Source organism: Homo sapiens, chromosome 4, assembly GCF_000001405.40.
Source record: "Homo sapiens chromosome 4, GRCh38.p14 Primary Assembly".
NCBI lineage: Eukaryota > Metazoa > Chordata > Mammalia > Primates > Hominidae > Homo > Homo sapiens.
Genome location: NC_000004.12, coordinates 68,646,597 through 68,671,089, shown reverse-complemented (window position 1 = coordinate 68,671,089; position 24,493 = coordinate 68,646,597). Strand labels below are relative to the sequence as shown.

At 34.9% G+C, this 24,493-nt stretch overlaps 1 protein-coding gene across 1 annotated transcript; it reads left to right on the top strand.

The window, feature by feature from the left end:
- UGT2B15 (UDP glucuronosyltransferase family 2 member B15) lies at window positions 438-24,493 on the top strand. The gene is made up of 6 exons (NM_001076.4): window positions 438-1,195; window positions 2,902-3,050; window positions 7,951-8,082; window positions 15,908-15,995; window positions 16,834-17,053; window positions 23,707-24,493. The coding sequence occupies exons 1-6, from the start codon at window positions 472-474 to the stop codon at window positions 23,984-23,986; spliced, it is 1,593 nt and encodes a 530-aa protein (NP_001067.2). The 5' UTR covers window positions 438-471; the 3' UTR covers window positions 23,987-24,493.

Genomic DNA, 24,493 nt, shown 5'->3' with positions numbered 1-24,493 from the left:
CTGTACACACTAATTGGTGAGTCATATGGTATATGAATTATGTGTCAACAAAGTTTTAGAAGACATTACTTGCACCACGATATTAAAAAATGCCGTTTGAGTTGTATAATTACTTCTTCTCTCTATGTCAAGGGCACCGAACAGGCAGGAGCCTCTCACTTGCCACTGTTCTTAACAGTATTATAAAATAATTACATAAGACAGGTTACTTACATATTCTAGGTCATAAAAATTATTGCTTGACTAGAGTAATTGTAAACATAAAAGAACACCAAACACACTAAAATAAATATGAGGTCATCAATCTTTTGTTGGTCTCCTTGGCATGCACCTATTCAGACTGTTAGTATTATGTATTTACTTCAAATTTTAGCAGTTATATTTTAACTTGATTGATTTTTCCTCAGATATAAGTATGAGAAATGACAGAAAGAAACAACAACTGGAAAAGAAGCATTGCATAAGACCAGGATGTCTCTGAAATGGACGTCAGTCTTTCTGCTGATACAGCTCAGTTGTTACTTTAGCTCTGGAAGCTGTGGAAAGGTGCTAGTGTGGCCCACAGAATACAGCCATTGGATAAATATGAAGACAATCCTGGAAGAGCTTGTTCAGAGGGGTCATGAGGTGACTGTGTTGACATCTTCGGCTTCTACTCTTGTCAATGCCAGTAAATCATCTGCTATTAAATTAGAAGTTTATCCTACATCTTTAACTAAAAATTATTTGGAAGATTCTCTTCTGAAAATTCTCGATAGATGGATATATGGTGTTTCAAAAAATACATTTTGGTCATATTTTTCACAATTACAAGAATTGTGTTGGGAATATTATGACTACAGTAACAAGCTCTGTAAAGATGCAGTTTTGAATAAGAAACTTATGATGAAACTACAAGAGTCAAAGTTTGATGTCATTCTGGCAGATGCCCTTAATCCCTGTGGTGAGCTACTGGCTGAACTATTTAACATACCCTTTCTGTACAGTCTTCGATTCTCTGTTGGCTACACATTTGAGAAGAATGGTGGAGGATTTCTGTTCCCTCCTTCCTATGTACCTGTTGTTATGTCAGAATTAAGTGATCAAATGATTTTCATGGAGAGGATAAAAAATATGATACATATGCTTTATTTTGACTTTTGGTTTCAAATTTATGATCTGAAGAAGTGGGACCAGTTTTATAGTGAAGTTCTAGGTAAGTCATGTGTCTAACTGGTGCTTATTAAGTTCTAACTTTTCTGTGCCTTTGAAGGTGAGCTTATATAAATATAATGTCAGAAGATAGTGTTTTTAAGGGAAATTATGAATTGCAAATGTAAGATGATCTATCAGTCTCAAAAATATTATAGAATGTTGACCTTATAGAATCAGTTAGAACCCTGGGGCCATCACTACTACAGGACACCCAGAGAGTCATAAACCTTCATTGTAAAGCACTAATGATTTCTTTAAACTATCACATATCATTTTGCTATACATTTTTTCATCTTTAAAAAAAGTCAATAGATACCTCAAGAAACATCTTCATGAAGGCAGACACATAAATTTAGTATTTACACATATTTCTAGAAAAATTATCAATGCAGGATTGAGGAATTTGTTTCTCTTTGAGTTCCTCAGTTTCCTCATTTAGAAATTAAATTTTGTTTTTCATGTAAGAAGGATTCCTTCACAGTTGAGTAATATAGTGGCTCTACTCCAGAAACAGAAGCCTAAAACTTGAGATTTCTAATGTTTATACATTCCTTCAATAACAGGTTGACAATTATTTCTTTCAAAAACTGAAATCTTGTTGAAAGTGAACATCTAAGTTTTAATCTATATTTTATTAAACTGCATCTCTCCATCAAAGAAAATAGGGGCCAAATTAAGGGAGAGCACATATCTCTATGTCAATAAATTCTGAAAATGTTTTAATTCTCATTTGTAAATATATTTATTTTAAAAATCTAATTATATTAAGATCTTAAGATGAACCAAGACAGTAGTAGGTGTAAAGATTTCAGTGTTGAGCTCAAAAAACTCATGGTTTACTTTGAGAACCAAGGATCAAGGGACTAGCTTAATAAACTGTAGACACTAGAGTACTTCCTGGAAAGCTGTTTTCATGGGTAAGGTAAGATGAATTAATTGTGGAACTGAAAGAGTTGTTTAAAGGTATATTTGTTACTATTGCAGCTTCAGAGGGAAGACAAATGTGTATTTAAGTTCATAGTGGCTACATTAGTCCATTCTCACACTGCTGTAAAGAAATACCTGAGACTGGGTAATTTATAAAGAAAAGAAGTTTAATAGACTCAGTTCTACATGACTGGGATGCCTCAAGAAACTTAGAATCATGGTGAAAGGCTAAGGGGAAGCAAGCTTGGATCTTCTCACTTAGTGGCAGGAGAGAGAAGTGCAAGCAGGGGAAATACTAGACACTTATAAAACTATCAGATCTCATGAGAGCTCACTCAATATCATGAGAACAGCATGGAGGAATCCACACCATGATCCAATCACCTGCCACTGGGTCCCTCCCTGGACACATGGGGATTATGGGGATTATAATTCAAGATGAGAGGAGATTTGGGTGGGGACAGTCAAACCATATTAGTGACTTATTTTAATAATTATTTATGATTGTGAATATACTGATGTTACATTAAAGATGTGATTTCTTCTTACAGATCTCTGAATACATTGCCTTCCTTATATATACATATGAGCAACATATGCAATAAATAAAATCTAAATTATGACTATATATAAATGTATTTATATATATTTTATCAATGCACAGACATTTTATATATGTTTGGGTATGTTATTCCAAGTCCTTTCAGGAAAATACCTGCATATTCAAATAACAATTCTCGTGTTAGCTACCTTTTGTTTTGTTTTGTTTTTTTCCATCAGGAAGACCCACTACATTATTTGAGACAATGGGGAAAGCTGAAATGTGGCTCATTCGAACCTATTGGGATTTTGAATTTCCTCGCCCATTCTTACCAAATGTTGATTTTGTTGGAGGACTTCACTGTAAACCAGCCAAACCCCTGCCTAAGGTAAATGTATTCTTGTTTCATTTGTTTGCTTGACATTTTCAGAAGGAATGGCTGGATATGTTTCTTTCAGAGTGTTTAACTCAGAGTGAGGGGAATATGGGAGGTCAAAAACAAGGACTTGCCATTAGAAAATCATATATTTCTGTAGTATCACAAGTATGTGAATGTTATTATCATTAAAGACCAAAGAGGTTTACTAGGGAGATTTTGAAAACAGGGTTGGTTAAAGTAAGGCCTTCATTGTGCCACCCAAAAGATAGTATGATTCATTTCTTCAAAAAATATTTGTAGAGTGATTAATACAAACCACAGGTAAGTGCTGGATTTTCAGAGAATAAAGGTAGCACAGTTTCTGCTCCCTCATGCCTTACATTGTACTTTGAAAGATAGAATAAAAACAAGTGAAAAAGAAAAGTCTAAAAAGTGTTATAAGGAAAGACCACAATGATAAAGAAATATGCAGAAGAGATCCCAAACTCATTGACAATTAAAGTGAGTACTCAATAATGTGCAGAGATAGGTGAAACGATGAGGGGTTGATAAACACCCAAAAAGAAAACCAGAGGCCAGGCAAGGTGGCTCACACCTATAATCCCTGCACTTTGGGAGGCAGAGAAGGCATGATTGCTTGGGCTCAGGAGTTTGAGACCAGCCTGGGAAACGTGGTAAAACCTCATCTCTAACAAAAATAAAAAATAAAATAATAGCCAGGCATGCTGGTGTGTGCCTGTAGTCTCATAGTCGTAGCTACTTAAGAGGCTGAGGCAGGAGGCTTGCTTGAGTCTGGGAGCAGAGGCTGCAGTGAGCTGAGACCACACCACTGAACTCTAGCCTGTGCGACAGAGCGAGACTCTGTCTCAAAAACAAACAAATAAACAAAAAAAAAAAAAGTAAAGGCTTGCATTAAGGCAGAAAAGTAGAAAAGCAATAAGGGCAGTTCCCAGGAACTCCAAATTTAATTTACAGGAAAAGGTTGAGTAAAAGTCAATGATGGGCCGGGCGTGGTGGCTTACACCTGTAATCCCAGCACTTTGGGAGGCCAAGGCAGGTGGATCACCTGAGGTCAGGAGTTGGAGACCAGAGTGGCCAGCATGGTGAAACCCCGTCTCTACTAAAAATACAAAAGTTAGCCAGGCATGTTGGCAGGTGACTGTAATAGCAGCTACTTGGGAAGCTGAGGCAGGAGAATCACTTGAACCCCGGAGGCAGAGGTTGCAGAGAGCCGAGATCACGCTATTGCACTCCAGCCTGGGCAACAGAGTGAGAATCTGTCTCAAAAAAAAAAAATATATATATATATATATATGTAATTTGATATACCCATAGGGACAATGGAGAGCTACTGAAAAGAGTGAAAAGAGTTAAGAAATGAAGAGATATGATCAGATTTCCTTTTAAAAAATCCCAATATTCCCAATGTATAATATTGCAAAAAGGCAAGTTTGTAAAATGTAAAGATCATTTAGGAACTTTTACATGAGTTTAAGCAATCATGACTACTTTTATAATAATAATCACAACTTCATATTGTGCTGTGTGGAAAAAAAGTAGTTACCACAGATAAAACACTTAAGTTGTCTCTGACACACAGCCAGTGATCCAAAAATATTGTTGATATTATGATTATTTCAGTCATTATTTTTAATACTTTAAATTAGCTAACATGTGCCAGCCATTTAAGATATCAGTCTTCATTTAATAGTGATTGATTTTCCAACACATCAAGATTATATTCTCTAGCAAAGTCCTAGAGAACAGATACTCTGTGTACTTGTTTAAATGTAAATGTTTAAGTTTGGGCAGTCAGTTGAACAAGCTGGAAAGCTAAAGTTGTATTGTAAAGGTGGAGGCTCTTCATTAATATTCTAGCTTAAAAGGTAATTCTGTGTACTCTTATCTTATTCTCAAAAAAAAATTCCTCACTCACATTAAAAGAAAGTGATAGTGCCAGTAGCAGGGGGAAGAGAGTAGCAGAATAAGGACAAGGGATAAATGACTAGTAGTACAATAGTGATTATTACTGATACTAGCATGATCTCGGCTCACTGAAACCTCCACCCCCCAGGTTCAAGCGATCTGATTCTCCTGCCTCAGCCTCCCGAGTAGCTGGGATTACAGGCACCTGCCAACACATCTGACTAATCTTTGTGTTTTTAGTAGAGACAGAGTTTCACCATGTTGGCCAGGCTGGTCTTGAACTCCTGACCTCAGGTGATCCACATGCCTCAGCCTCCCAAAGTGCTGGGATTACAAGTGTGAGCCTCCGTTGTTGTTAACTTGCAGAAGGTAGACTTGAATCCAAGTAAATAATTGTGAAACTGATTCTCTAATTCTTTTGTACACAAAATAATTGTTGCGACAAATTTGCTTGCTTTTCCATTATGTATTAGATTCTCAGATAATGTTTGTATATTTCAAAAGAATAAGACTCTTGCCAAAAAGTATCAAGTGTTTGAAAAATGCATATAGGCATTGCCTTTATAATATACTCACATGAAACTGTACAGAGAATAAATCATGATGGTAAGATTCAATATCGGTAGCAAATACTCATTAAAAAAACTCTGGAAATAATTCAAATATCTTACATTAAGAAATGGTTAAAAACTTACATAATGTGCATACCAAGCCATTACAATCCTTTTTTCAAAACAATGTTTAATTACACTGTCAGCCGTGGTACAGGTATAGTTGGAAACTAAGGAACAAAATGATGAGTAGAACAAGATCACAGTTTTTTTGTAGAATAAAAAGGCATATACAATGAGAATAAAATTTTCTAAATAAACATCACATATGTACATTGAGTTATATAAATAGAATTAAACCCATAATGAAATGGCACACATTTTAAATTGAGATAGAGATATGGGTAAATGATTTTCTTTTTCTAAATTTTCATACTTTTATAAAACTACTTACATTGATCTTCTATTACCATTACTTTCATAAAGACATCACAGAATGAGATCAGTGCTGATCTGTCTATAAATAGATGTTTTATTACTTCAATACTGGGTGGGTGAAGCAGACTTTTGGCAGTGAATGAGACAAAACATTGAACTCAAGTTACATTAAATGTGGCTACAGGCAACTGCAATTACACTGAGTTCCTGGATGCCTCATGAATTATCTCTAATAGCCATACACTGAATCTCCAATTAAAACTGATGTCAGGCCAGGCACAGTGGCTCATGCCTGTAATCCCAGCACATCGGGAGGCTGAGGCGGGTGGATCACAAGGTCAGGAGGTCAAGACCAGTCTGGCCAAGATGGTGAAACCTGTCTCTACTAAAAACAGAAAAATTAGCCAGGCGTGGTGGCAGGTGCCTGTAATCCCAGCTACTCAGGAGACTGAGGCAGGAGAATTGCTTTAACCTGGGAGGCAGAGGTTGCAATGAGCCAAGATTGCATCATTGCACTCCAGCCTGGGTGACAGAGAAAGACTCCATCTGGAAAAAAAAAAAAGATGTCATAAAGTTAAATTATATTTTTTAAAAATACTTACCAATATATGGTCTGAATTGACATATTTTAGAATTTCTTTTTTTATTTGTAAACAGTTTTATAAAGAAATTTCCCCCAATGATTAGGACCAGAAAGTATATTTGTTATGACAGAAGGGGTTGGTCATTATTTTACTGAGAAAAAGAGAATTTTGAACAAAAGGGACAACAGCAACAAAAAGATGAGTATACAATTTTGATATGATATCCAGGAAACTTATGGGTCTACATTTCTTTTCCTCTTTCTCTCTCTCTTTTTTTTTTTTTGGTGTGAGAATACATTGAGCGATGTGGCATTAGAGAATGGATTTAAGTTTAAAAACAGGGACACATCAGGAAACACAAGTCAGAATAATTCTCATTCATTTCAAAGCAAACACATATTCACCAGGAGCTTCATATAGTGTGAGGGAGCTACTCTAGGGGGTGAGCAGATCTCCACTGGAGAAAGTCCTGGTGACCTCTCCCACTGTGGTTCAAGTGCCCCCTGTGAGACACAGCAAAGTGATGATGAGGGTCCCCCACATTCAGTTATACATAGCACATCAAATTCACAGTGTGATTTCAGGACAAAAGGTGTCATAGTCATACCTAAGCAATGACCTGAGAAATAAGATCACTTAATTATGTAACTATATAGTATATAATACTGTATTATAAATGGAATTCTCAGAACTATTTCCCAGAAATTCCAAACCACAATACCAGACTGCTGAATGTCAGTGATTCTTATACTTCAGCTTTTAAGGTGTTTTTGGGGGGTGGGGGTGTCGGGGGCAGTGAGGGGTAGTGGGGTAAGACTAGGAAACCCTAACTTTAAGTGAAATATAAAGGGTTAGAGAGCTAGAAGCTAAATAAATGTAGATATAATATCATTCCAATTGTAACTAACTTTTCCTCAATGCTCATAGTCATGTAATGGCTCCAATGACTCCTAACTAAAAGAACTGAACAGAAAAAAATAAAATAAAATAAAACTACCCCAAATAAACACAAGAGATTTAGTAGAACCACAAAAAAAATTAGAATTGAAGCCAAGTAAAGCTACCTTCCAATAACCTATGTTAGTAATTATAATATTATAAATAAAGTGTCTGGGTGTAACATTTTCTAGCATTATCTCCTCCTACTGCAGTGTCATAGCTTTGTTTCATTTCCTCCTTACACACACATACATACATGCATATGCACACATATTTACACAAATTTGCATGAAAGATCCCACATATATTATATTACACATCTCCTTTCAAAGAAACTGAATGATTAGGTCAGTTTAAAAAAATTACTCCAATAGCTTCTGACTTTCTCATCTTAGATGTTTGTAACAATCCTGTCAATAGTGTTTTCTGTGCTGTTGCTCTTTTCTGATAGAACAAATTCTTTCTTCACAGGAAATGGAAGAGTTTGTGCAGAGCTCTGGAGAAAATGGTATTGTGGTGTTTTCTCTGGGGTCGATGATCAGTAACATGTCAGAAGAAAGTGCCAACATGATTGCATCAGCCCTTGCCCAGATCCCACAAAAGGTTAGATAAAGTGCCTTAACTGTGGATGGCTACTAAATGAATCTGTTAAACTCTTCAAGAGTCCATTACAGAAATGTTCTGCCTGAAAATTTAACTGCTATGATAGTTCTAATTATCTCAGACATCTGTTCAAAACAAAAACATATATGGAAGATCTTAAAATCATAAAGAGAGGAGTTTTGGTTGATAATAACGTTGGCATTAATATTGTGATCAGAAGGAAATATATTTAAGAGGTGCTAGTGAAGTTTGGTATTATCATGGTATCGTAGCATGTACATAGAAATCACTAAATTCTGCCCTGTCATTTGCTCCTTTTGGTTTACAGGATTTTAGAAGGTACTGTATACACTGTAGATATTATCAAAAAGCAGTTAAATTTTAATAAGTTACTGTACTATCACAATAACAATAAGCAGGTATCGAAAAAACTTTGAAATGCATCATGCAGCTTCGTCTTACCAAGCAATCTGGCTGTTTTTACTTCCCATGTATTGGAATAGGTCTATTTAGTGTTCTGTTCAGGGTGCCATTCAGAGAAAGAATGTCCTAGTCTGACTAGCCACTGCTCTGGAGGTACCCACCTAGCCAAGTAGATTTAGAGAAAAAAAAAAAAAACTTGTCTGCTCTGCTGACTTGGGTGCCGCTAATGTCTTAAGCAGAAAAATGTAATGGAAAGGATGGAGATAGAATCCTGCTTTTAGGGTAGACTATGTGCATTATTAAATGTGGCCCAACAAAGACTATGCTCTAAGAATCAGATTAGTGCCTTCTCCAGATTGAGGAAGGAGCAGAAAATATAAATAAACATGGTAGGAACTTATTTTCTAATCTATACAATCTTTGTGTATTTTCAATTTACGTTTTAGTTTCTTATCTGACATAGCCCTCTCTGAATGATCTATACAAGTTTTTGCTGAAAACACAGAGTTACTTTAACACTCCCATATCAAATACAAGGTCAACACTTGTAAATTCTACTCCAGTTTATAAAGATTGCTTGGGAATTCTAAAATCAGTACCTTAGTTTGGTACTAGACATGGTAATGACTGGCTATAGCTGACCATATATCAAGGCTGTCAATGCTAGGTAGTGCATCATCTAAGTGTGAAAGATCAGTTAAGCAAAATGCAGCAAAATACAATTTTCTACATTTTCAGCATCTGTATTGTTAATCATGAATTGTCAATGGGCTCCTTTTTCCTACATTGTTAGCATTTACAAAAGTAGCAATACTGATAATAGTCTGAATTTGTGTCAAACACTGCCACTTGAAATTTTTCCTGAAAGTAGCACTTGATAGTTAGCAAATGAAAAGAAATTACACATACTACATATGTAGCATTATTTCTCACCATATGTGCAGTTTAAATATTTAGTCTTTTGTAATCAATGATGTCAAATTCATAAAATAACTTATGACTAGTAGACAAGTGGATATAAGTAAACTCTTCTCATATCACTCAAAAATTAATAAATTTATATTAAATTTGGAAGGTTACAGCTAGTATAAAGTATATAAAATAAATATATAGGTTATTACTAATTTGCTACTTTTTTATTACTAGAATTAAGACTGCTTAACAATTCTTAAATATTTGAATATTTCATTGATAATCTTGTGAACCCCAAATATCTGATACAGGTCTCAGTACATTTAGAAAGTTTATTTTTGCCAACTTGAAGCAGGGAGGAGGCATTCCTTTGACTTTCTGATTAGCCTCTCCAAGGAGGCAATCAGATATGCATTTATCCCAGTGAGCAGAGGGGTGACTTTGAATAGAATGGGAGGCAGTGATTTGCTTAGTGACTTTGGGGCCCCCAGGCTTATTTTCCTTTTACATTTAAAAAAAATCTTTTGGAGAAAGCATTTTAGAAGAAAATGAGTCTCTGGTCTCAGGTTTTCATCTGATCTCTAATGGCAAGGAAGGTTTATTCCTAAGCAGGTCCTGAGTTATTAGGAAAGTTCATTTTTAGTAGGTTGTGAAGTCTCATGTCCTATGAAGACAAAATAAAGGGAGAAAGGGAGAAAAACAAAACCAAACAAAAGAAAAATCCTTGAAAATTAATATAGGCCCATTACTCTGAAGTCCATAAATCAGTAGGCAGGTATGAAAGTGGATTATGTATGTAAATTGGTTGCTGTTATTTTCTTCTGGAGTTTAAGTTGTCTAGCTTAATTTGTAGGGCTTCATGAAAGCATGACTTAGTTTACAGTGACTCCAAACTAGGAAAAATGGTGGAAAGGGAGGAAAAAAAACCTGAAGACACTATTTTGAAGACGTGTCGCCATGAAAAATTAGAATTCAGTCCAAACTGTAGACAGTAATAAAAGTTGAAAAACATTAGGCAAGACTAGAATCTAACAACAGGTATACTGTTATTTTTGAAACATAATTTTTCTGTCTTCAGTTTCCCAATTTTACTAAAGACAAACCATGGTACAACTGATTTGCTTTATTATACTTGGCCTGATTATTGTATACAGAGGAGGAAGAATAATTTTTTATTTACATAGGCTTTTAAAGTGGCTTTGATGGAACTTTGTCTTATAGAAAGAATCTCAGATAGGACTTTTTTAAAGCTGAGGAAAGCCATAGATTTCTACCATCAAATACCTACGAGTTGGGTGAATTCCTCTCCTCTTGGGGTTCCAAAATAAACTTGGGGCTCCTGGGCCTGTCAGAAAGTTACATTCTTTGCTTAACACAGTTCAGGAACCCTGTACAGGGACCTTATAGATGAAGGTATGAGGCCAGTTTTCCCAAGGGGTTTTATTGGCTCCATAAGTTAAGTTTGATTCCCTAAAGGAAAGCCCACCATACCAGTGGAAGCCTTGATAAAATAACCAGTTTCTCCAATTGTGTTTTGTTAAAAATGAAAATAGATTCTTATTGCACTTATGCAAATAACTGTATTGACAAAAGTAAAAAATACTCACAAATAGTTTCCAAATTCTGAAAAATCAGGTAGAGGGAAACAAATACGTTCTAAATTTTTTTCATAGGAGTATACTAAATTGTTAAAAGCTGTTAATAGCTCAAAAAAAAAAAGATTCCTTCACTCTGAAAAAAAAACAAAACAAAGGATCAGCAATGTTTTAAGCAAAGTCTAAAAGATTACTTTAGTTTTTTATTATTTCAGTCCATGTAGTTAATTCCTGTTCTGCTTGATACTCATGAACATTTTAGTTCTCCATGAGTCCTGAAAGTTTTTCTTCCATTCTAATGTCACAATCTCCAAAATTATCAAAAACTTTTTTTCAAGAGCACCTGTTAGAATTTTATGGCTGAGTATAAAATCGCCTTCTAAAGAGGACCAAAGTAAGACAACAATTGTCTGTGGAGGACAAAAAGTTTTAGGGCAGACTCAGTCAAAGACACAATGGACAAGGAAATTTGTTACCTCTGTGGCACACAATAACTTAACACATATAATTGTTACTGATAACGTACACACTAAGTCATATCAGAATTATAGGAGTTTCCCATAATTTTGGAACACATAACAATAACATACTTATATAAATACAGCTCAAAAAGACCAAACACCATTTCATATTTGACAATGTTTCCTGTATAATTTTTATACAAAATAAACCAAATTATGTCATTTTTGGATGTTAGGGAAACTAATAAATTAAAGGATTACTTAGGTCAGAAAAAATCATAATTTATAATTTGTTTGGAAAATTTCTCAAATATCAAAGGTTTAAAACACTTAATATCACAGGTAAGATAAATCATTCATTTGACTAATGTGGTAACTCAAGGATTTCAAAAAAAGGCAAAAATCTTCATTCTTTGAGAGAGGAGACTCAATTTGCCAAACAATAAGCCCTAATAAAATAGCATGAAGCCAAATAACTTTGTTTTTCAAAATTTTATGAACAATCTATAAAATTCTAATCTTGACCATAAGATATAACTTTCCTCAGCCTTTCATAACCTTTATAATCTTTATTAAGAAGTCAGTTTATGCTTCCAGAAAACCTTGTTAATCTGACACAGGGGCCCATATGTTGGTCTTGCATTAGTGTGTCTTTGACATTAATGATTAATTTGTAAATAAACTAACTTATCTCTCAGTATCAGTTCTTAAAATCTCACACACCCACCTCTTCTGTGATAGTCCCTGGACCTTGAGGAGCTGAATAGCTTTTAGAAAGCACTGTTAGCATTATGCCACAACAAACAGAACTTGAGGAAAAAAACTTATATGAGTTGAAAATGAGTTGAAGGATAGTGTTGCCATTTCACACCCTTTATGGTTTAGCTTTGAAATAAAAATGATAACAGTTTTTTCCCAAAACAAACCTTACTGCCTGTGGACTAGATTGCTTAAGGCCACAGGGTTAGAAGTTATGATAATCTTACTTAATTCAAGATGTGGCTATTTTCATTAAACCAATATCAATGTCTTATTTATTAAAAAATTACACAAGCAAAGATCATTCTGTTTTGGGCTTGGTTTACAGTTTTGTAACCCTTATGTCAAATTTTGACACCTTAAAGTATTTGGCAACAATAAGTATGAAATTGCTTGATTAATAAATGCAAACAAAAATATATGCTGGAAATTCTTAAGACATTTCTAATATTATCATACTTTAGCAATAATTGTAAAGTTATCTTATTTATAAAAGATTTTATTGAAGTTACATAAACTTGAAAAAGCATTTGACTAGTCTTTTTTTTCTGGCAAAGTATTTAATTCAAGCACTTTTATTTTCTTAAGCCAATTAATTAGAGCTCTTTTATATATTTTCAGTAATAAAACACTGTGTACAAAACACATAAATACATACACACATTAAGCATGCCAATAGAAGTACATCTTATAGATTTATGAAAACTACATTTTGCCATATTAGACTTCCAAATTCTTGATAACCTGTTTCAATAGGTAATCTGTATGAATACTTGATCACCATAGGCAGTTGTAAGCTAAATAGTCTTACATTTGCATATTAAAAGAAACCAAGTGAAAATTAAATAGCAAAATTTACATCATAAGGTACAGAGACAAAAAATTTGGTGTGCTGGAAGGAAAATAAAATGGATTCAATTGCCTATTAAACATAAAATTATAGAAATTATAATGGCCTTTTAAATATATGCAAACACATGTACACACACACAAAAGATTCTATGGCTTTTACTTCAGAACTTTAGCCATGAGATAAAAAAAATTGACCAGCTTGCAGACAAAAACCTGTTGAATCCATAGTGTGGTTTTTATCTTAATAGAAAAATAAAAGCAAATTTAAAGCAAGAAGAAAAGAATTTTTTTTAAAAAGAGAGAACTTAGGAACTCTATAGCTTGCAGGACAACCTAGGGTTCTTAATGTATATGTGCACAAAGACCGTATTACCTTCATTTTACATAAACTCTGCCAAGTAGAGGTGTCATAAAACCTACCAAGTGATATCAGGGGGTCATTCTTCTTGTTTTCTCATCATTCTTAGATTATTTGTTTCCCACTTTTTTTCCTAAAAGGAGGAACTGAGCTGTGGCCTAGGGTTTATGTGTGGTGAATCAATGTGTGCTGCTTGTGGGCAGTACTCCACAGTGTGTCACCACTGAGTTGTTTCCACCCTCTTACATGTCTCAGTTTCTCTCTCCAGAGGTGTATGACCTCTGAGAGGGCTCAAAATGCTGGGTGATCTGCCCTCATATGTGTTTCCTGGACTAGCCTTTTTTTAAAAGTTAATTTTTATTGGGGATTTCCCTGCAGGGCCACTCCATGTCACAGGGGGTCAACCCCAAGACACTCCCACAAGGCCCCCAGTTGCTTAGGGGTGCCTTTTGCCTGGGAGGAGCAGATGCCCTTTCACTTTGGAGCTGAGAAAACTCAGTCTCTCATTTTCCTATGTAAACCACAGTTCAGTTTCTCACACAAATCCACACAGACAAGCCAAATGAGATTAATTTGGGGAATAAAAACAATAGAGGAGACCCTTTACAACACATCTCCAAACTAGAATTAGGATTCTTAAACAACAACTTCCTAGGAGGAAAAAAATAGCAACAGTCAATACTACTTCCAGTAAACTGTACTCAGCCACCCCCTACTTTGTAACTCGTCTGCCATTACACATGCCAAGGTAAAATCCTCTCACAGTACAAGGTAATCTGTGGTAATCTCAAAGCCAAAGAGATCAGGTCATTCAACATAGGAAAACAGAGCTTTGGACTGAGAAAAAAATCTGCCCACAACTCTTGGAACTCCACAAAGAAAACAGACACCCCTAAAGGGGTGAGTGGTGCCTTTGTTCTGAATTCTTTAAAAGAGTTCAAGTCATTAGAAGCCTTCTCTAGATTTTTCATACTGCAAATGGCAAAAGGCAAAAGGAGGTATAGGGTGGAGGAAAAGTAAACAAAAGAACATTTGTTTTTTTAAAGACAGGAAGCAAACACAGAAACCAAGAGCATGGTTTTTAGGTTTTGTTTTGTTTTGTTTTGTTTTCTCTTTTGCGTCTGCAAAGAATTTTAGCCAAATTAGACAGGCTTTGTTACCCACAATTTGGAATTCTCACTCAGATTTGATCAAGTCAGGTAAAGTTCATCAAATCTGATGGGAGAAATACTGGAATGTACAAAAAAAAAAAAAAATCCCAGAAATGTGATCACTAAGCACTGTAATGGTAAGGAGAAATTAAGTCCAGCTAGTTGTTAAACATTAACCAAGACAAAACCGCAATTCAGCTGTTTACCTACGGATGGGTTTCAGGCCAAAACTGCCCTCTGCCATCCTAGAATCAGGAAAGAAACCTCAAATTCATCCTCCCTCCTGGGAGCGAGCTCAAACTCCATAGAGTTACCTGCCTTCCATTGTCATGGAAACAGGAAATCTTGCCTTTCTTGTAGGAAGCAAGTAAAACTCCAAAAAAAACAAAAAGGAGTTGTACAGCAAAATAAACTTCAGATCTTGTCTGAATTTTGGGGTATCAGAGATTCTCTGGAGGGGTTGCTCCCAGACCTCAGCCAATTGTCTTCTTTGTTTGAGCCATAAATTTAGCTCATGCTGGTACCAAGCACTGATAGGACATTTATCAAAGGTCAGGGAACCTCCACTCAGAATCTCTTCATGGTTACCAAAATATGAACCCTGAATATATGAGACAGTTCTCAGATAATTTAGAAAGTTTATTTTGCCAAGGTTGAAAATGTGCACCCATGACACAGCCTCAGGAGGTCCTGATGACATGTGTCCAAGGTGGTGGGGGGACAGTTTGGTTTTATACATTTTAGGGATACATGAGACATCAATCAACATATATAAGATGAACATTTGTTCGGTCCAGAAATGGGAGACAGCTAGAAACAAAGGCAGAGCAACTTGAAGCATGGAAGGGGCTTCCAGGTCATAGGTAGATGAGAGACAAATAGCTGAATTCCTTTGAGTTTCTGATTAGCCTCTCGAAATGAGGCAATTTGATATTCATTTATCTCAGTGAGTCAAGGGCTGACTTTGAATAGAATGGGAGGTAGGTTTGCCCTAAGCAGCTTAACTTTTCCCTTTAGCATAGAGTTTGGGTTGCCAAGATTTATTTTCCTTTCACAATCTCATGTGTCTAGCTATTATGTTAGAAATGTCATTATTTCTTTATATACAAAATTGATTATAAAAGTAACGACATTAAACGTGGGTATTCAACTTACCTCAAACTTTTAGTAGTTCTCATTACTTGACATCACTTCTTCTTATTTCTTCATCTTTTATATGGATTAACTAACTGATTATTAATCTCTTCAGAATTCTAACATGCTATGTTTTTAGAGTTCTATTCATTGAACAAGATATTTTCCTTGCCCTAACAGGTTCTATGGAGATTTGATGGCAAGAAGCCAAATACTTTAGGTTCCAATACTCGACTGTACAAGTGGTTACCCCAGAATGACCTTCTTGGTAAGATTCTGGAGAACAAACAGTGAATATATTAGTAACAGCAAATTGGAGTGATAATAGTTCAACATAAAACAAACATATTTAGCATTTATTATTGGAAAACTAAAAAACAAATCAAATTTAACTACTTTATATTTATTTTCCAGTCTTAGTATAAAAAGAATGCACTATAGTAGTTGGCATTTTATTACATACAGTCACATTCTTTATGGTCAGAATAAAAATCTCTTTGTTCAGGTGTAATTTCCTCTCACAGGTTTTAAATAACATCCTGGATTTTCTGTCTGTCTCCTATTTATGCAGCTTTACCTCTGTTCTTTCCCCTACTGCAGGGTTATTTCAACAGGCACTGAAAAATAGCGGACACTTTTCTATTACCAGTGACTCTACTTTTTATGGGAATAAATAACCAATCTTTATCATGATAAAATGATAACACATTTCATGATGATGCATAACCGGTCCTTCCTCAGCCCCACCTCCACCCTACTCCCTGCTGCCTTTTAAAAAAAATTAAATATTTTAAATATTTTAAGTATTTAAATATTTTTTAAATATGTAAATGTGACCTCATTATTTATAATACTTAAAAGACCACGTTCTTGTATACCCAATCTTATTCTTTTTTTTGCACATTTTAATTTTTTAATTAAGAATATGCTTTTTCATTTTGTTCACCTGGCAATTCTTCTGAAATTTGAAAACAATTTCAATGCAGTTTTGTGGGTATAATGTTACCTAGGGAACAGTTTTGCTTTAAGTTCCTTATATTGTGCATTTCTTATTCAATTCTCATACCTTGTAATTAATAATTTTGTTAAAATGCATCCACTTTTAGGTCATCCCAAAACCAAAGCTTTTATAACTCATGGTGGAACCAATGGCATCTATGAGGCGATCTACCATGGGATCCCTATGGTGGGCATTCCCTTGTTTGCGGATCAACATGATAACATTGCTCACATGAAAGCCAAGGGAGCAGCCCTCAGTGTGGACATCAGGACCATGTCAAGTAGAGATTTGCTCAATGCATTGAAGTCAGTCATTAATGACCCTGTGTGAGTATTACAGTTTTGTGACCAGGTGGTATTTATAAATTATTTTGTCAACAGTGAATATGAATTTTAACCCGTTTTTAAGAGACTAATTTTGAAGGGATTGAAGTGATTTAACCAATGTAAAATCTGTCCTTACTTTCCACCAGACAGTTTATTTCAAAGTTACATTTCAACCCCACAGATTTAATGGGTCACCAATGACTGCAATGAATTATAAAATCAAAAAAATTAAAGATATGTAGATAATTATTTTAAATATTTTTAATGATAGAATGCACAATGAAAAGAAAGAACATAACTAGAGAAATATGATATTTCAATTCAATACCTAAAATTTCTGAAAGTATGAATCTATTCTTTCTCAAAAATTTATTTTTATTATCATTATTTTAAGAAATGTGATAATGAATTATAATTTGCATAGCATAACATTCACTAAAATTTAAAATCTAAATATATTTAGTATGTTTACATAGTTACAAAGCCACAGCCCTAAAGAACATTTTAATGAATTCAAATTAAACTCATAATGTATGAAGTCACTCCCAATAAACCTCTAGTCCTAGAAAAATACCATCTTACTTTGTTTCTCAATAGATTATTCTCTTCACATATTTTATATAAATGAAATCATACAATTTATGGTGTTTCATAAATGACTTCTTTCACTTAGCATAATTAGTTTTAGTTTTATTTATGTTGTAGGATGTATCAGAACTCATTCATTTTTATTTCTATATAATATTCTTTGATATGTTTATACCAAAATTACCCATTTATCAGGTCATGGACATTTTAGGTCTTTCCAATTTTGGCATTTATGAACATTGTTATACATATTTTCCGTGTAAAAATATGTTTTTACTTCTTTTGAGGAGATGCTAGGAGTGGACTTGCTGAGACATATGGGAAATTGTTGTTTATGAAGAACTGCTAAACTGTTTTTCAAAGTATTTGCATCATTTTTCATTACCACCAGCTGGATAGGAGGGCTCTAATTTCTTCACACTCTTCCCAACACTTGTTATCACCTGTCTTTCTATTACAGCCATTCTAGTGTGTGTAAAGTGGTCTCTCATTATGGTTTTCATTTGCATTTCCTTATGGCTGAAGATGTTAACCCTCTTTTCATGTGCTTACTGGTCATTCACACATCTTCCTTAGATAAATTTCTATTTTAATCTTGTGAATATTTTGTCTTTTTCTATTTATCTTATGGATTCATAAGAATTATTTATATATTATAGATACAATCCCTTATCAAATATGTGATTTTCAAATATTTTCTTCCACTATGGACAGATAGATTTTTTTTTTTACTTTTTGGAAGATGCCTTTTGAAATACAAAGGTTTCAATGTTGATAAAATAAATATGTAATACTTAACTTTTCCATAATCCAAAGGAAATACTATGAAAAATGCTGTGCCTAGACCAGCTACCATCAATTCAGAGTCTATTACTCCTACCAATATTATTATGAGGTTAGGTGGTACCAGCTAAGGGAATACATTAAAAACACTTTACCAAAAAATTAGTAAGACAAGAAATGATTTAAGATACTTCAAAAAAAGTAAGAAAGTAAAGAAACATAAAACAGGTTAGAAAATTAAAATATATATATATATAGAATAAGATGCTGGATTTAAATGTGAACTAGAGAAAGAAATAAAGGGTATTCAAATAGGAAGGGAAGAAGTTAAATTGTCTCTGTTTGCAGATGACATAATTCTATAGTTAGAAAACCCCTTTGTCGCAGCTCCAAAATTCCTTAAGCTGATAAGCAACTTCAGCAAAGCCTCTGGATACAAAAATCAATATGCAAAAATCACAAGCATTACTATACACTGACAGTACATGATTTGACAGAGAGCCAAATCATGAATAAATTCCCATTCACAATTGCAACAAAGAGAATAAAATACCTAGGCATATGCCTAACAAGGGATGTGAAGGACCTCTTCAGGGAGGACTAGAAACCACTGCTGAAGGAATTAAGACAGGACACAAACAAATGGAAAAACATTCCATCCTCATGGATAAAAAGAATCAATATTGTAAAAATGGCCATGCTGCCCAAAGTATTTTATATATTCAAAGCTATTCCCATCAAACTACCATTGACATTCCTCACAGAATTAGAAAAAAACTACTTTAAATTTCATATGGAAACAAAAAAGAGCCCATATAACCAAGGCAATCCTAAGCAAAAAGAACAAAGCTGGAGGCATCATGCTACCTGACTTCAAACTGTACTACAAGGCTACATAACCAAAACAGAATGGTACTGGTACCAAACAGATATATAGACCAATGGAACAGAACATAGGCCTCAGAAATAACACTACACATCTACAACCCTCTGATTGTTAACAAACCTGACAAAAACAAGCAACTGGGGAAAGGATTCCTTATTTAAGAAATGTTTTGGAAAAACTGGCTAGCCATATGGAGAAAACTGCCACTGGATCCCTTCCTTACACCTTACAGTAACCAAACCAGCATAGTACTGGAACAAAGACAGACATATAGACCAGTGGAACAGAACAGAGGCCTCAGAAAAACACCACACATCTACAACCATCTGATCTTTGACAAACCATACAAAAACAAGCAATGGGGAAAGGATTCCCTATTAAATAAATGGTGCTGGAGAAACCGGCTAGCCATACGCAGAAAACGGAAACTAGTCCCCTGCCTTACACCTTATACAAAAATTAACTCAAGATGGATTAAAGACTTAAATGTAAAACCCAAAACCATAAAAACTCTAGGAGAAAACCTAGGCAATATCATTCAGGACATAGGCATGGGCAAAAATTTCATGACACAAACACCAAAAGCAATTGCAACAAAAGCCAAAATTGACAAATGGGGTCAAATCAAACTAAAGAGCTTCTGCACAGCAAAATAAACTATCGTCAGAGGGAACAGGCAACCTACAGAATGAGGGAAGATTTTTGCAATCTATCCCTCTGACAAAGGTCTAATATCCGGAATCTACAAGAAAGTTAAACAAATTTACAAAAAAAAAAAAAAAAACAACACCATCAAAAAGTGGGCAAAAGATATAAACAGACACTTCTTAAAAAAAGACATTTATGCAGCCAACACACTTATGAAAAAAGCTCAATATCACTGATCATTAGAGAAATGCAAATCAAAACCACAATGAGATACAATCTCATGCCAGTCAGAATGGCGATGATTAAAAAGTCAAAAAACAACAGATCCTGGTGAAGCTGGGGAGAAATAGGAAAGCTTTTTACATTTTTGACGGGAATGTAAGTTAGTTCAACCATCATGGAAAACAGTGTGGTGATTCCTCAAAGACCTAGAACCAGAAACACCATTTGACCTAGCAATCTCATTACTTCGTATATACCCAAAGGCATATAAATCATTCTACTATAAAGACACATGCACATGTATGTCTATTGCAGCGCTATCTACAATATCAAAGATATGGAACCAACCCAAATGCTCATCAGTGATAGACTGGATAAAGAAAATATGATACATGTACACTATGGAATACTATGCACCATAAAAAGGAATGAGATCATGTCTGTTGCAGGGACACGGATGAAATGCAAAGCCATTATCCGCAGCAACTAACACAGGAACAGAAAACCAAACACCACATGTTCTCACTTATAAGAGGGAGTTGAACAATGAGAATACATGGACTCAGGGAGGGGAACAACACACACCGGGGGATGGAAGGGGAGTGAGAGTATCAGGACAAATAGCTAATACATGAGGGGCTTAAAATCTAGATGACAGGTTGATCGGTGCTGCAAACCACCATGGCACGTATATACGTATGTAACAAACCTGCACATTCTGCACATGTATACTGGAACTTAAAGTAAAAATAAAACTTTTTAAAAAAATTTGAACTGACCAGGTGCAGTGACTCACGCCCGTAATCCCAGCACTTTGGGAGGCTGAGGAGGGCAGATCACGAGGTCAAGATATCGAGACCATACTCCTGGCCAACATAGTGAAACCCTGTCTCTACTAAAAATACAAAAATTATCTGGGCATGGTGGTGTGCACCTATAGTCCCAGCTACTCAGGAGGTTGAGGCAGGAGAATCACTTGAACCCGGGAGACGGAGGTTGCAGTGAGCCGAGATAGTGCCACTGAACTCCTGGTGACAGAGCGAGACTCCATCTCAAAAAAAAACAAAAAAGCAAAAAAACAAAAAAGTGAACCTACCAGTACTCACATTAAATTTAAGCAGACCAAAAAGAAAAGACAAAATAGTGATCTTTGAAATATTTTATTTAAGGAGATAAAACATTTGAAGTACACAATTAAATGTAATCTATGTGTTATATATGTGTGTGTGTATATATATTGCACATTTATCTGTATATATGTATCCATACATATATCTCTGGTTGTGTGTGTGTAGACAGAAAATAAACATTTTTAAAAGAGTTTATGGAGACCGGGTGTGGTGGCTCACACCTGTAATCCCGACACTTTGGGAAGCCAAAGTGGGAGGATCACATGAGGTCAGGAGTTAAGAGACCAGCCTGGCCAACATGGTGAAATCCTGTGTCCACTAATAATACAAAACTTAGCCAGATGTAGGGGATGAGCACCTGTAGTCCCAGATACTTGGGAGATTGAGGCATGAGAATCACTTGAACCCAGGAGATGCAAATTGCAGTCAGCCAAGATCACTCCATTGCACTCAAGCCTGGGTGACAGAGAGACTCTGTCTCAAAAAAAAAAAAAAAAAAAAAAAAAGATTATATGAAATAGTTACCTGAATTTACCATATGCTGGGCCATAAATAAACACTAAGTAAATTGTATCAGATTCAAATTCATAAAAATTATATGTTCTAGTCATACTAGAAATAAATTATAAATCATCCAAAAACGATAACTGAAAACAATCTGATTCTTTAAAATAAAAAATATTTTTTAAAAAATTCAGTCAACAAAAAATTCTAATTATAAATGTGCCTTTCTCTCATCAACTATTCTTCCAAGTATACATCCAACAAAAATGAATAAATATTTAAACCTAATAAAATATACAAATATCTTAATACCATAATTATTAGTAAGGTCAAAAAATGTTAACAACACAAATATCCATTAATCACAAAATGAAGAGATCATCTGTGGTCTTTGTCAATCAACTGAATACTCTCTACACCAATGCTATTAAACAACTGCTAACCAAAAACAGAAATGAATATGTATTATTTAATTCAATTATATAAACAATACTAATCTATGATATCAGAAATCAGGTTAATACTTACTTTGAGGATAAAAATAGTGACTAAAATGGCCCAGGAGGAGAGAGTTCTTCTATGCAGTTTGTGATAAATTGGTGTCTTCACTTTGGGATAATGTTTAAGATAATCTTAAAATTTTGAGGTAGTCACATAGTATATATACATTTATCCTATGTATTTCATACTTGAAGTTTTACTGTAGAAGATATACAACATATTTTAAAGTTCCAGAAATCAAATAGCAAAGTAAGCATGAAGCACTAGAGAAATCCTATGGGTGCCTATAGTGTGGCCAGGAAAAGACTCTCCAAGAGGTATCATACAAGGGGAAGCCTCAAAAAGAAATAGAAGCAAACCTCAAGTAGTTGCAAGAAAGAATGCTCAATGAGAGAGACACGGGGAACAAAAGGTGTAAAGGGGCTAAGGTGAGAACACCTTCAGGAGTTTAGAGAAAAACCGAAGGCCATTGTCTCTAGAAGAAAGTGTACAGGGGGAAAGGGCTAGGACAAGTAGGTGCCTGTGTAGAGTTCTCTAGACCAAAGACAGATTTGGAATTTATTCTTAATGTAACAAGAAACCAGATGGAAATCTTAACAGGTGAGTGTCATAATTTGATATTAATTTGGAAAATATTCTGGCTACTAGAAGGAAAATATGGTAGAAGACAAAAGATTAGAGTAGAAGCTGAGAAACTAGTTAGGAGGCATTTCACCAGTTGTGTCACAATTCTTCTTTAAATACGTCAAAATGGGCTGGGCACAGTGGTTCATGTCTGTAGGGCCAACACTTTGGGAGGCAGAGGCAGGAGAATGACTTGACTACAGGAGTTCCAGACCAGTATGGGCACTACAGCAACACCTCATATCTAAAAGTGTAAAAAATAAAAAAATATAGCCAGGCATGGTGGTGTGCAGTTGTAGTCCTAGCTTCTCATGAGACTGAGATGTAGGATTACTTGAGACCGAAAGAGAAAGGCTGAACTGAGCCATGATCATGTGACTGCACTCAGCCTGTGTAATGGAGCAAAAGCCTGTCTCAAAAAATAAAAAAAAATTAAAAAGATCAAAAAGATCATTCTCAAATTCCATTTCCACTATCTTACTTATAGCACTTAGAATGGCTCATAATATTTTCTGCTCCAGAAAACATTAACTTTCCCACCGAAAATTCCATTTTTCATTTTTAAAGGTATTTGTCAGTGATAAAACTCCAATTTAAAAACCAAACTTTCTGTAATGACATGAATTAAAACATTGAAATTTCATGCCAATTCAGTGACACTTACTTTCAATCATTTGTGTGACACTTTTCAAAGACCATCCATAGACTTGATATGCTTAAGCAATAAATTTACTTTTAATGTTGATATCTTTATATTTATCCTTCAGCTATAAAGAGAATGTCATGAAATTATCAAGAATTCATCATGACCAACCAATGAAGCCCCTGGATCGAGCAGTCTTCTGGATTGAGTTTGTCATGCGCCACAAAGGAGCCAAGCACCTTCGAGTCGCAGCTCACAACCTCACCTGGATCCAGTACCACTCTTTGGATGTGATAGCATTCCTGCTGGCCTGCGTGGCAACTGTGATATTTATCATCACAAAATTTTGCCTGTTTTGTTTCCGAAAGCTTGCCAAAAAAGGAAAGAAGAAGAAAAGAGATTAGTTATATCAAAAGCCTGAAGTGGAATGACTGAAAGATGGGACTCCTCCTTTATTTCAGCATGGAGGGTTTTAAATGGAGGATTTCCTTTTTCCTGTGACAAAACATCTTTTCACAACTTACCTTGTTAAGACAAAATTTATTTTCCAGGGATTTAATACGTACTTTAGCTGAATTATTCTATGTCAATGATTTTTAAGCTATGAAAAATACAATGGGGGGAAGGATAGCATTTGGAGATATACCTAATGTTAAATGACGAGTTACTGGATGCAGCACGCCAACATGGCACATGTATACATATGTAGCTAACCTGCACGTTGTGCACATGTACCCTAAAACTTAAAGTATAATTTAAAAAAAGCAAAAAAAAAAAATACAACTCTTTTTTTTAAACCAGGAAGGAAAATGTGAACATGGAAACAACTTCTAGTATTGGATCTGAAAATAAAGTGTCATCCAAGCCATAAAAAAAAAAGAAAAGAAAAATAAAAATAATATAAAACCTTA